At 37.9% G+C, this 15,039-nt stretch overlaps 2 protein-coding genes across 4 annotated transcripts in view; one reads left to right on the plus strand and one right to left on the minus strand.

Moving 5' to 3' along the window:
- Window positions 1-15,039, minus strand: part of NDUFA5 (NADH:ubiquinone oxidoreductase subunit A5) — a 64,655-nt gene that overhangs the window by 24,032 nt on the left and 25,584 nt on the right. For both annotated transcript variants that reach the window (NR_111926.1, NM_001291304.2), the window contains exon 4: window positions 9,889-9,946. Coding sequence is in view for 1 of the 2 variants with exons in the window: in NM_001291304.2 (NP_001278233.1) it covers window positions 9,889-9,946 (58 nt within the window). In the remaining variant the exon portion in view is untranslated. The remainder of the gene's footprint in view (window positions 1-9,888; window positions 9,947-15,039) is intronic.
- ASB15 (ankyrin repeat and SOCS box containing 15) overlaps window positions 5,980-15,039 on the plus strand; it is a 72,474-nt gene continuing 63,414 nt past the window's right edge. Inside the window, exon 1 of one of the 2 annotated variants that reach the window (XM_011515819.3) lies at window positions 5,980-6,060. The gene's annotated coding sequence lies outside the window, so the exon portion shown is untranslated. Of the gene's footprint in view, window positions 6,061-6,315; window positions 6,338-15,039 lie in introns of those variants that run through there. The other variant, XM_017011757.2, reaches the window with a different exon arrangement.

Genomic DNA, 15,039 nt, shown 5'->3' on the forward strand with positions numbered 1-15,039 from the left:
GAAATACTAAAGATCTAAATAAATAGACATTTCTTATTTAATGATTTGAAGTCAATATTGGTCAGATGGCAATACTCAAGTTGATGTAGCGTTTCATCACAATTCCTATCAAAATCCCAGCTTCCTTTTTGCAGAAATTTTTCACAAAAGATTTGTCAGTAGCAGAAGGCACTGTTTGATAACACTTGTCTCACAGAAGAACTCTCAAAATTGGAATCAGTCCTCTCAATTCTGCTGCTGCTTTATCAACCAAATTTATAAAATATTATAAAGACTTTGTTGTCATTTAAACAATATTCACAGTATCTTCACCAGGAGTAGATTCCATCTCAAGAAACCACTTTCTTTGTTCATTCAAGAAGCAACTCATCATCTGATCAAGTTTTATCATGAGATTGCAGCAGTTCAGTCACATCTTCAAGCTCTACTTCTAATTCTGGTTCTCTTGCTGTTTTCCTCACATTTGCAATGGCTTTTTCCACTGATCTTCAACCCCTCAAAGTCATCCATGTGAGTTGGAATCAACTTTTGCTAAACTCCTGTTAATATTGATATTTTGACCTCCTTGCATGAATCACCAATTTTTTTTTTGAGACAGAGTCTCTATTGCCCAGGCTGGAGTGCAGTGGCATGATCTTGGCTCACTGCAACCTCTGCTGCCCCAGTTCAAGCAATTCTCCTGCCTCAGCCTCCCGAGTAGCTGGAATTACAGGCATCTGCCACCGCACCCGGCTAATTTTTGTATTCTTAGTAGAGACGGGGTTTCACCGTCTTGGCCGGGCTGGTCTTGAACTCCTGACCTCATGATCCACCCACCTCAGCCTTCCAAAGTGCTAGGATTACAAGCGTGGCCACCGCACCTGGCCCATGAATCACCAAATCTTTTTAATAGCATCTAGTGTGGTCAGTTCTTTCAAGAAGGTTTTCAATTTATGTTACCCAGATCTGTCAGAGGAATCGGTATTTATGGTAACTATAGCCTTATAAAATGTATTTTTTTAAATAAGACTTGAAAGTGGACATTACTCCTTGACTCGTGGACTGCAGAATGATGACTGCAGCATGTTGTGCGTGAAAACAATGTTAATCTCTTTGTACATCTTCATCCTCAGGGCTCTTGAGTGACCAGGTACATTTTCAATGAGCAGTAATATTTTGAAAGAAATCTTCTTTTTTCTTAGCCCAGACTTTGTTGTTCCATTTATAGAACACAGGCAGACTAGATTTAGCATCATTCTTCAGGGTCCTAGGATTTTCAGGATGGTAAGTGAGCATGGGCTTCAACAGCTGCATAAGCCTGTAACAAGAGAGTTAGCCTGTCTTTTGAAGCTTTGAAGCCAGGTGTTGACTTGTCCTCTCTAGCTTTGAAAGTCTTAGATAGCATCTTTTTCCCATAGAAGGCTGTTTCATCTACATTTTTAAAAATCTATTGTTTCCTGTGGTTATCTCCATCAGTGATCTTAGCTAGATCTTCTGGATCTTGCTGCAGCTTCTACATCAGCACTTGCTGCTTCACCTTGCACTTTTATGTTACGAAAATGGCTTCTTTCCTTAAACCTCATGAACCAATTTCTAACAGCTTCAGAGTTTTCTTCTGCAGCTTTTTTTACCTCTCTTAGGCTTCATAGTGCTGAAGAGAGTCAGGGCCTTGCTCTGGATTAGGTTTTGGCTTAAGGGAATGTTGTGGATGGCCTGGTCTATCCAGGTCACTAAAACTTTCTCCATATCAGCAATAAGGCTGTTTTTCTTTTTCTTTTCTTTCTTTCTTTCTTTTTTTTTTTTTTTTGAGTCAGAGTTTTCTCTCTGTTGCCCAGGCTGGAGTGCAGCAGCACGATCTCGCCTCACTGCAACCTTTGCCTCCCTGGTTCAAGCATTTCTCCTGCCTCAGCCTCCTGAGTAACTAGGATTACAGGCAGGCACACCACTCCCAGCTAATTTTTTTTTGTATTTTTAGTAGAGACAGGGTTTCACCATGTTGGTCAGGCTGGCCTAGAACTCCTGACCTCAGGTGATCCGCCCACCTCGGTCTCTGAATGTGCTGGGGTTACAGGTGTGAGCCACCGCGCCTGGCCTGTTTTGCCTTTTTATCATTCGTGTGTTAACAGAGTAGCACTTTTAATTTTCTTCAAGAACTTTTTCTTTGTATTCACAGCTTGGCTAACTGGTGCAAGAGGCCTACTTTTTGGCCCATCTTAGCTTTCAACATGCCTCCCTCACTAAGCTTAATCGTTTCTAACTTTTGTTTTAAAGTGAGAGATTTGTGACTCTTCCTTTCACATGAACACTTAAAGGCCATTGCAGCATTATTAACTGGCCTAATTTCAACATTGTTGTATCTCAGGGAATAGGAAGGCTAGAGCAGAAGGAGAGAGATGGGGAACAGCCAGTCGGTGGAGCAACCAGAACACAAATAACATTTAAGTTTGTTGTCTTATATGGGTGTGGTTTGTTGAACTCTAAGACACTTAATAACACTAACATCAAAGATCAGTAATTACAGATCACCATAATAGATAAGGAAGAAGTTTGAAATATTTCAAGAGTTACCAAAACGTGACACAGAAGCATGAAGTGAGTACATGCTGTTGGAAAAAATGGTGCTAATAGACTTGCTTGATACATAGTTGCCACAAACTTTAAATTTGCAAAATATCTGCGAAGTAAAACAATATAGCAAAGCACAATAACATAAAGTGTGCCTTTTATACATATACGTGGCTGTTATCACAGTATCCTAGAGCCAGTAGACCTACAGGAGGCTAAATGATGAGGGTCACAGAGCCACAGGCAGTTCTCTAAGGGTTCTAAACAGGAAGCACCAGGATTGAGATTTATGTTTAGATGCCACATCATGGGCAGTGTGAAGAAGGAGTCTGCATGTGGCAGGACTGTGAGCAGTATGACCCAATACAAACATCTATGAAAAAATGAAATAAAATCTATCAAAAAAAAGGTTGGTGAATTTGACTACATTAATATTCTATACTTCTGAATAACAAGAGACACAACTTAAATTGTAAAACAACACAGACGGGAAGAAGATATCTGCAACCCATATAGCCACCAAAAAATAGGCGATGCCTAGAATATGTAAGGAACTTTTGTAAATCAATAAAACAACAACAAGAAAAGAACACCCAAAACAGGTCTCCCTACTTTGACTTTTGCCTCCCTCTCTGGAGTACATTAAATGAGTTATTATATGTATATGCCTCACCCAGTATGTGTAATATGGCACCACCTACTTGACTTCTATTAATTTATTAGTTTACTTTTTTTATTCTCAACCCAGTAGCTAGAATAATTCTTTTAAAAAGTACTTTGCTCAAAATTCTCCCATGATTTTTTTCACTCAAGCTGTAAAAGTCAAAGTTCTTACACCTTGCAATCCACAAGGCCCTGCCCCACTTCTCAGACCTAACCTCCTGTATTAGTCAGGGTTCCCCAGAGAAAGAGAACCAGTGGGATATTTAATATTTCATTTTAATTTCATGCACACACACATATACACATATGAAATAGCCATATATATAGGAGATATATATAAAATACCCCTATATATAGGATATTTTTATATATCCTATTGTGTGTGTGTGTATATACACATACACACATACACACACATATACAGATGATCTCCAAGTTACAATGTTTTGACTTACGATTTTTTGATGTTAAGATAGGTTTATTGGGACGTAACACCATAAGTCAAGAAACATCTGGACTTAACGATTGTTTGCCTTATGATTTCTTAACTTTATGATAGTTCATTGGAGTATTAAATGGATTTTTGACTTATGATATTTTCAATTTTATGATGGGTTTATTGGTATATAGCCCCTTTGTAAGTTGAGAAGCATCTGGACACACACACACACACACACACACACACATATATATACACATACACACACAAGTACATATAAACATACACACACACATACATGTAGAGAGATTTATTATAGAAATTGGCTTATGCAATTACGGAAGTTGAAAAGTCCCACAATCTGCTGTCTGCAAGCTGATGAACTAGGAAAGCTGGTGTTGTGATTCAGTCCAAGCCCAAAAGCCTGAAAACCCACAGAGCCAATGGTATCAATCCTGGTCCCAGTCCAAGAGTAAGAGCACTGATAATCAAAGGCAGAAGAATATAGATGTCTCAGCTCAAACAGGGAGAGTGAATTCACCTTTCTTCTGTCTCTTTGTTCAAGCCTTCAAGGGATTGGATGATGGCCACCTTATTGGTGAGGGTAATCTTCTTTGCCTTATTCTATAAATTCAAATGCTAATCTTTTCTCTAAGCATCCTCAGACGTAACAGACGCACCCAGAAATGTTTTACCAGCTATCTGGCTATTTAGCTTATAATACACACACACACACACACACACACACACACACATCCACACACGAATTTAGGGAGAAACAATTTGCTTTAGGGTTCCCCAGATAACATATGTTTTTATATACCATATTTGTTCTGTTTCTCTGGGGAACCATAATACAAATTGTTTCCCCCAAAATTTATATGTTGAAGTCCTAATCCCCATTACCTCAAAATGTGACCTTCAGGCCGGGTGCGGTGGCTCACGCCTGTAATCCCAGCACTTTGGGAAGCCGAGGCAGATGGATAACTTGAGGTCACGAGTTCAAGACCAGCCCGGCCAACATGGTGAAACCCCACCTCTACTAAAAATACAAAAGTTAGCCGGGCGCAGTGGCTCACGCCTTGTAATCCCAGCACTTTGGGAGGCCAAGGCGGGTGGATTTCCTGAGGTCAGGAGTTTGAGACCAGTCTGGCCACCATGGTAAAACCCCGTCTTTACTAAAAATACAAAAAAATTAGCCAGGCGTGGTGGCACGCACCTGTAGTCCCAGCTACTCAGGAGGCTGAGACAGGGGAATTGCTTGAACCAGGGAGGTGGAGGTTGCAGTGAGCCGAGATCATGCCACTGCACTCCAGCCTGGGTGACAGAGTGAGACTCCGTCTAAAAAAAAAAAAAAGAAAAAAAAAGTGACCTTCATTGGAAATAGGGTCATTGCAGATGTAATCAAGTTAAGATGAGGTCATTAGAGTGAGACCTTATCCAGTGTCAATGATGTCCTTATTAAAAGTGGAAATTTGGACATAGAAACACACACTGTTCAGTACCACTAGCAAAGATGAAGGCAGAGATCAGAGTGATGCATCTACAAGCCAAGGACCACCAAAGATTGCCCCCAAACCACCAGAAGTTAGGGAAGAGGCATAGAACAGATTGTTTCTCTCAGCCCTCAGAAGGAACTAACACTGTCAATACCTCTATATTGGACCTCTAGCCTCCAGAATTGTGAGATAATAAATTTCTGTTGGTTAAGCCACTCAATTTGTGGCACTTTTGTTATAGCAACCCTAGAAAACTAATACCCTGAGAAATAGATTAGTTTAATAATATGCTCCCCTCTTCCTTAGGATAGCTGCCCCTAGAAACATGAACCATGGAAATACAGCCTTTCCAGTTCAGATTGCTGAAAAATAGGCCTTTACCAAATTACCATCATAATTTTTAATTTCTAGTATTTATATCATCCACAATTATAATTTAGGACAGAAGAAATATTTATTAACAAACATATATGTACTAATGACATTTTAAAGATACATGTGCATGTATATATATACATTTTCATAAATATAAAGAAACTATTACATTGGAATTAATCACCTATATATCCATTTGCTCCTCTGTGAAGGGACCTATGTATTTGGATACCCTAAGTCACTCTTTTCTGGAAACCACATTTGGATTTGGCCGAAATGACCTTATTTTTCAAACGAGGCAATGCTGGTATAGTCACTGGAACTGAGATGAATAGAAGCTTATGAGGTCATAGTCTTTGTTCCCTGTTCCTCCAGATTCTAAGAATTTTTATCATTGTAGGATGTATTCTAGAATATAGAATCATATGATCATGAAAGATGCATATGTGTTGATTTGTTGTAACCCTGGGTTCAGGCTTCTGCTGTATCATATTTGCTAAAGACACCAAAACTAGATAGAGCTATTTGATCCTGACTAAGGTACTGCATAATTAAGTTTCATGTAGTGAGAAAATGTGTAGATTTCTGGGCCAATCCTTTTGCAGAGGGGCAGTGGCTTGAGAGTGGTATTCTAGGCTAGTGATAGTAGAATTAGGAACATCATCCTTGGCATCAGAAAGGGATTTCAGAATGTCTAAATGTGAGTAGCAAGGGGATCAAAGGCCCTGTGTTCTCAGGTGGGAGAGAGTTGCCAGAGGAGTAAATGTTCTTATCCTCTTCAGGAAGGAGATGAATGTTGGGAAGTTCTGTAAATAAGGTTAGTAGGCCAGATCCAGGTGACTTAGAGCAAAAATCTGGGTCTCACATTTTACAAAATTTGCTTTGTGATGCCTCTAGCCTATCCAATAAAAGAGCTCTTGTTTATCCAAAATTAAGTGTTGGAAGAGTTAGGACTTCCTACGCTGCTTCTCAGTGATGCAAGCTCTTTTGTGAGGGACTGGGTCCTACCAAAGTTAGGTGGTTAAAATGTTAGCCTGGAATCTAGGATTCTGGAGCGCTCCTCCACAGCCAATCACTGAGAGAGGCATGAGGAAAAACCACTCAACAGGAAGAAAGCATCTCAATTCTCAGACCCTGGGGAGCTCATTTCTGAAAATGTACAGGGGACAGGTAATGCTTAGCCAGTTTCCCCTTATTTTTCAAGACTGGTAGCAAAAGCGAAAATAACCCAGAATCAGAAACTATTATTTCCTCTCTCAACCTTGGAAAGAAAAAAAAAACAAACATTCTGCTAAGCTAATGATTAAAATAGACGAAAATATTCAAATTCCAATCACTTGGATGTTATCCATCTCTTGTGCCTCCATCCATATCAGGTATGTTCAAAATGATTTGGATTTTTACCTGTTTTTTTTCTCTATCTATAGTATGAACACTTCTAAAAAGTGTCCATACTCAAATAATTGTGGTTTTCAGATATGTTGATTTTCAGAACTTCATTCTAAAATGGGCTGAAATTCAAATAAAAGCGCCATTACCCAGTTTTATCTTAGTGGCTATCTGCTTCTGTACATTTGAGTTAATCAATATGTGAAAATGGGGATATCTCACACTCCCACTGAGATTTGGATTAAGTTTAATATTGAGGTTAAACATAGTTGTCTCTATTGAAAATTAAAACTGGCTGGGCGCGGTGGCTCACGCCTGTAATCCCAGCACTTTGGGAGGCTGAGGCGGGCAGATCGCCTGAGGTTGGGAGTTTGAGACCAGCCTGACCAACGTGGAGAAACCCCATCTCTACTAAAAAAAAAAAAATACAAAATTAGCCGGGCATGGTGGCGCATGCTTGTAATCCCACCTACTTGGGAGGCTGAGACAGGAGAATTGCTTGAACCCGGGAGGGTGGAGGTTGCAGTGAGCAGAGATCGTGCCATTGCACTCCAGCCTGAACAACAAGAGCGAAAGTCCATCTCAAGAAAAAAAAAAAAAAAGAAAATTAAAACCTATGGGAGGATTGAATATTAAATATTTCTAGCCACCTCACCCGTGCCATTTGGGGAAGGCTTAACTCCACTTCTGTATGGGAAATGTTGCTCCTCATTTAAAAGCAAGAAAGAAAATAAGTGATGAAAGGCAAAAATGTTTGTCTAAGGAGATAAAAACTATTTTGTGGGATTAAAATAAATATGCATTATTAATGTAAATGGTGATGAGAATATACAAATCAACAAAATGGTAACAAAACAGTAATTATTTTAAAAATGAATACCTTAACATAATTTAGATATAGAATGAGAAAATTAAGTATAAAAAGTTGAAAAATTATGAAAATACATAATAAATGTTGATACTATATTTCTAACTAATCTCGTCCAACATACAATGACCAGTGAAATAAACATGATAAAATGGGGGACAGAAGACAACAGCTAAAATAGAGAAAGGACTTCAGAAATGTGAGAAGGATATGAATGTTTTTTAAAAACTGAATAAACTACATAACAACTAAAATAATCATTTATTAAGCCAAAGTCTATTGAAGTTTAGTCTGTATCAGAAACTACTGTAAGTACTGAGGATTCTGGGGACCTGTCAGTAAACTAGACTGGCCGTTCTCAACCATTAAGGAGTCATTTTGTCCGGTGGTCATGCTAAAGAGACAGACGTAAATGGCAATCTTGGCAACATCTTAACATTGAGGGAATAAAAAGCTTTTCTTCTTTTAAATGTTCTGGTAAATTCATCTGGGAAGAAACATAACAACCAATACAGCATAAAGGAGTTTGAGCTAAAAGATCTCAGATACATGTAAATAGCAAGGGGAAAAAATGTGGTCCAGCAATAGCTAGGGCCCAAAAAAAAGGCCAACATAATATTTAAAAAGTCATTACTACCTGGTGTGGGTGGTGGTGTGTGATCCTATGTGGCCTTAAAATGCTATTGCATGCATTTTTAATAGTTAGAGGATGTATGAGATTGACTTAAGAGACCATAAAATCTGGAAGGAAGTGAGAGAGTCAGTGCATCTGCTGTCAGCCCCTAGGGGAAGGGGAGTAGTCAGGGAAAAGGAAGAGGCTGAAGAAAGGTGGACAAGGTTATTATAAAATCCAGCTGAACAAGAAGATGAACCCACAGTAGCACAAGGCCAGTAAACAAGGTAGAAAAGGATGCTAAATGGAATTTACATATCTTAAATGCATAGTGTAGCTGTGGTGGTTGCAGGGGACATGTAGGAAACACTCTTGTAACAGAGAGGCAAGCCCGTTAAGTATAACTAATTTCTTTGGCAAGTTACAAAAAAGAGGAAGCAGAAGGGAATTTGAATGTGATAAGAATGCCTTTGTACGGATGACTTAGACAATTAGAAGTTAGAAGCAAATAATGATTGTTATTATTATGTTTTTGACTAAGGAAAAACTGCACTATGATGGGATATAAGTCACTGTCAACAATACCTAAAGTTTACAACTACTGCCATAGCTTTTTTTTTTTTTTTTTTTTTTTGAGACGGAGTCTGGCTCTGTTGCCCAGGCTGGCTTGCAGTGGCACGATCTCGGCTCACTATAAGCTCTGCCTCCCGGGTTCACACCATTCTCCTGCCTCAGCCTCCCAAGTAGCTGGGACCACAGGCGCCCGCCACCATGCCCAGCTAATTTTTTTGTATTTTTTAGTAGAGACGGGGTTTCACCATGTTAGCCAGGATGGTCTAGATCTCCTGACCTCGTGATCCACCCACCTCGGCCCCCCAAAGTGCTGGGATTACAGGCGTGAGCCACCGCGCCCAGCCTGCCATAGCTCTTATAAGTGGTGAAAGGTAGCACTTACTTTTTGACTATATCACCCACCCTGATGTTCCCTGACTGTCCCTTCCACCGAGAGTGGCAGGGACTGTTACTGGTATAATATTCATGTGAGTAGCCATGTGATGCCTCCTTGAATGGCCTTTTCTTTATTTCTGGAATGATCTGGGCATGAGCAAGGAAAGCCAAACACACTAAGAAACTGGCTTCTGACGTCCTCACTCACTCTAGCAGGCATGCCTGCTTACCTCTACCCTTAGGCTTGAAATGACTCACCTTGACAAATTATAGGCCTTAGCAGAATAGCCCTAAAGAATCCTTTGGTAAATCTTGTATTAGTTCTGCAAGGAACCACTGCAAGGGAGCTATCAGACAATTTCTCCCTTCCTGTTCCTAACTTGGGTCAAGTAGGTTTATATATCTTTGCTTCTTGAGCCCCATCCATTTCCCATTACCACTGCATTTATATAGTTCTTTTTCTAACAAATTTACCTGTCCATATGGATTTCTCTTCAAAATCACTAAAACTGAAAAGAACTCTCAGCAGGAATATAGCTCTAAAACTTACCAGCTGTACGGCCTGGGTGAGTCCTTTAACTCCTCTGGAACTATGCCAATATTTCCATCTGTAAAACACACAATGGTTTGACTAGGACATCATTTCCTGACAGTGGTTCAAGAACCCCTAGCTGTTCAAGTCTGCGTTCCAGGTCATTTGGGTCAATAAAAGTTGTAATATTTGTTTCCACTTGTTTTTAAGGAATAAATGATCATTTCTTTAAATTTACCATAAAAACAAATACAATTGAGAAGCACCAACTGCACAGCAGTTGAGTACATGCTGTGGTTAGTGGAGGTCAAGTGAGATTGGGAGCACTTTATCAAACCTGTACATACAAAGCCTCAACAGTTTTGATTATTATTCAGTATTAAGTTGTTCTTCATTTTCGTTGTACTGTGGTTTTTAATTGCATTTAATTATTGTTTAAAACAAGTGTAAGGTCAATCTATGAGTTAAGGAAGAACAATACAAAAATGCTAACTATGTAAAATTTACTTCAAAATATTTGGACTTTCATTTCATTAATCACCCTGTGAAAGTGATGAAATATCATAATAATATGTCCCAGGAAGGCCAATCAAACAATTTTAAAAATAGAAAATATGATTTTTAATCCAGTTTATCTTTTTATTTGTAGATAATAAAGTGTATCCAAGCCAAAATATGGGTTCAATTCCCCAAAAGAGAAGCATTATATCAAAAAATATAAACAGTTAAGGTCATTGCCAAGTCTTTCAAAACAGTGGTACTAATTTACAAAATAACCAGCAATGTAAAAGAGATGTTGTTTCACCAAATTCACACCAGCAATGTTTTAATTTAAACAAAATTTTTAAGAAGAAAAGTGAAAGAAGTTGATAATATAGTCCCACTTGTCTATTTTTGCATTTGTTTCCCAAGCTGGAGTGCAGTGGCATGATCATGACTCACTGTAGCCTTGACCTCCTGGGCCCGAGTGATCCTCCTGTTTCAGCCTCCTGAGTAGCTGAGACCACACCACAGGCATGCACCATCATGCCCAGCTAGTTTTTTTAATGTTTTTATAGAGATGGAGGTCTCACTACATCTTTTGTAGGGATCTTGCCCAGGCTAGTCTCAAATTCCTGGGCTCAAGCAATCCTCCTGCCTTGGTTTCCCAAAGCACTGGGTTTACAGGTGTGAGCCAGTGTGCCAGACCAGTTGTCTTGTTTTACAGTGATTTTACAGTGATTGTAGAATTTCTTTTTTTTTTTTTTTTTTTTTTTTTTTTGGAGACAGAGTCTCACTCTGTCACTAGGCTGGAGTGCAGTGACGCGATCTTGCCTCACTGCAACCTCTGCCTCCTGGGTTCAAGCGATTCTCTTGCCTCAGCCTCCTACGTAGCTGGGACTGTAGGCACGCGCCACCATGCCCGCTTAATTTTTGTATTTTTAGTAGAGACAGGTTTCACCATGTTGGCCAGGACGGTCTCGATCTCTTGACCTCATGATCCGCCCGCCTCAGCCTCCGAAAGTACTGGGATTACAGGCACGAGCCACCACGCCCAGCCTAGAATTTCTTTATGTAGCCTGGATACTATTTCTCCTTATAATTCTGCCAGGTTTTGCTTTATATATTTTATGTTCTTTTCAGGTTCATATAAGTTTACCAATCGTAAAGATTGATGTATCTTCTTGGTGGTTGTTCCTTATATTGTTATAATTTTTCTTTCCTTTCCTTATTAATGCTTTTTCTTTTAACTCCTGGTATGTCTGATATTATTACCCCACGGTTTTTTGTTTTTGTTAAACATTTTCTTAATATATTCACTCTATCTCTTTTTTTTCAATTTTCTGCAACATGTTATTTTAAATGTGTGTACTTTAAGTAGTATATATTTTTAATTAGATGAGTTTTATACATTTGTTACATTTATTATAACTGAGGTATTTATATTTTCCATCTTTTAAATTTATTATGCTTCTCTTTGCTTTCTATACCCTTATTTTATGCTATTTAATTAATTGTTGACATTTTTCTTTTTTCTCTTTTTTGTCTTTTTTTGTCCCTGCTGGTTTAAAAATGATTTACTTTTCATTTTCTAATGGTGACCTATCAAATTTTAACAAACGATCAGCTATGTGTTTTTAACAACATCTAAATGTGATCAGTAAATTTTTAGCTTCTTACTGAAAAAATGCAAAGATTTAGTATGCTCTAAAAGTACTCCCTGAAATCACCTCTTCCATGTTCTTTTCTATTATTGTCTATGATTTTAATTCCATCATTTATGTAAAAATAGAGATTTTTCTCCCCACAGGCAAGAGTTAGTTAATTTTATTTTCTAATATAATTCACTTATTTTATCACCAAGCTTCCCCCCCGCCTCCCCATAACCTCTCCTTTCCCTCTGGATTTGCTTTTTTTTTTTTTTTTTGTCATCTTAGGGTTTGGAAATTTAGTTTAAATGCTCATCGTAAGTGGAATCTTCTTTCTTCCCATCACCTGACCCTCATTTGTCTGTGCATTTTGCCTAGAGCTCCCAGTCTATAACTAAGTCTTATTTGTTTATGTATTTATTTCTTGTCTTGGGGCCTCTGAAGATACCACGGTTCTAGTCCTCAAGCAAAGAAGCAGCTCGGCTGGTGTGCTGATCTGTGAGGGCTTTCTCTAAACCTCCTCCCTCTAGCCTCCCTCCCCCTGCCATCCCAAACACTCCAGTTTATAAGAGCTGTGACCCTAGCAATCAACATAGTTTTTCTTAGCCTCCTTTCTTGAGGAGGGAGTCTGATTCCAGTCTTAAATTTCATGTGGTAGGCCTGGCTTCTGTATCCTTCCAGGAGTGGAGTAAATTTGGTTCCCATTATCCAGAAAGTCTCAAATTTCTAGACTACTTTAGATCTAAGTCTAAAGACCAATAGCTTTGTAGCTTCAATCATTTAAAAGTATGTTCCAGTTTTATTTCTGTTCTACAGAAATGTTTATATTATTTTTAGCATGATTGGGTCTTATTAATTAAAAAAAAACTACCATTGTCTTGTGCTTGGGTCAAGGCAGGGGACAAAAATTACAAATTTACAATATTATTTTAACTGAACTTCATTAGGTCGCTTTTATAAATACCTAGTAATATGATAGACCAAAGAAATACATGTTACTCATTGAATTTGCTATGCTTCTGTTAAAAGTGATAGCAGTCTATTTCCACATGATTGTTAGCCTGTTAAATATCCCCTTTGGAGTGCCACATTCTTTGCCAAAATGTTTTTTAGAATCATTTTTGACATCTCTTCTTTTTTTATATAAAATTGATCACCAGGTTCCATCTCCTTTTTTTTTCTTTTTTTTTTTCTGATTCACTATTGCAACATTCTACCCACTTCCAGTTTCTCAACACTTCACTCCTGTACTATGCAACAGCCTTCTAAGCATCTGTTTAGCCCAGGACAATCTTTTAAGACAGTGGCTCTCAAATTTTAGTATATGTCGGAATCACCTGAGGACTTGTTAAAACACAGATTGCTGGCTCCAGCTAAAGCCTCCCTGATCCTATCCCCAGGCCCCCAGTTTGTGATACAGTAAGTCAGGGATAGGACCTGAATATGAATTTCTAACAAGTTCTCAGGTGATGATAATGATAGTGGGCTGTGAACCACACTTTAAGAACCGCTAGTTAAAAACACTGTTTACATGTTAGCACTCCAGTACTCAATATCCTTCAGCCATTTCCTACTGCCAGTAGCATCATATCTACATTCCCAAGTTTGAGGCCCTCTAACATTGAACCTCATTCTACTTGCCAATTCCATTTCTCCATCTCTGTGGCAGTCTTACAGCTAATTCCTTAACCCACTGTACTTTGTTCAAAAGATCTTACATCAAGCAATATTTTTTTTCTTGAAGAGTGGATTACTTTCTTATCTAGTAACAGGCAGCTTACACATCTTTAAGTAGTTCCATGATTGTTTTCCTCCAAAGTACTCTTTTTATTTTTTCTATTTCAGTCTTGAAGACTTTACTGGATCTACATCATACTTGTTTAACTCTCAGCTCCCTTGGGCTGTATTTAAGACACATAGGGGAGAAAAATATGGAGACAGATGTAAGACTCCACCATGAATAAGTTACATTGATCCTTTTCCCTAAGCAATGAGTTAGGCTTACTTGCATTTAATATGACAGGTATGTTTCCTTTTTTTTTTTTTTTTGGTAGTTTTAAAAAATATCTTTGCCTAGGCAGGCTGTTTCAATTTTTGGATAATTTTTCAGATATTTAAGAAGGTTTGTATTTTTAATTTAAGGATTAACATTATATTTATATTACATAACTCTTGGTTTTCCATTTTTTCTAGACAACACCTATTAGTTCCCTACTAGGAAAAAACAATGAAACTATCACGTTCCTTCTTTCTCTCTCATCCTTTGCATATCCTCTTCCATTGATTCTAGTAAAACACCGCCTTTCTTAGTGCTTGCTTTCATATGTTAAATATGTTCATACCTCTATTATTTTGGTATGTCAGATACAATATATCTCCTTTCAATCTCAGATATTCCACATGAGGCAATCATACACAATTAAATCATACACAATTAAAGAAAACAACTTTAATTGTATCACTTCTGTATTGTGAGGGCATATAACATCAACATTCTGCTCAGTAATCTTAATTCCCTACATTTCTTTTATTATTATTTCTACAGTGAAATATTTTCAATGTTCCCTACTACTCCATTTGTCATAGTTACCCAAGCCATTATTGTTTGGTTGTAACAATATGTTTGTAACCTTTATCTTTGAAGGACAGCTTGACTAGATATAAAATTGTTTGCTTATATTTTCTTTACTTAATTATCTTGTAAGTGATGCTTTGGAAAAATATTTTGTTAGATTGTTTTTCCCTTTATGAATTATTTGATTTTTTTAACCTGGCAGCATGAAGTTTTCTTTTTTTTTTTTTTTGAAATCCACTGACACTCCTAGACTATGTCTCCATATCAAATTTTTGGTTACTTTTCCCTGGCATGCATAGTGTGTCCTGTAAGTATTTAGATTTAAACCTTCTTTTATTTCAGGAAAATTTTCTTGATTTATGACTTTCAATTCTTGTTGGCTTCTATTTTCTTCAGCTTCATTCCTTAGGGTCTCCAACTATAAATTTGTTGGATTTTACTTGACTGTTTTATATGTAAATATAC

This window comes from Homo sapiens, chromosome 7, assembly GCF_000001405.40.
Source record: "Homo sapiens chromosome 7, GRCh38.p14 Primary Assembly".
In the NCBI taxonomy this organism is placed as follows: Eukaryota; Metazoa; Chordata; class Mammalia; order Primates; family Hominidae; genus Homo; species Homo sapiens.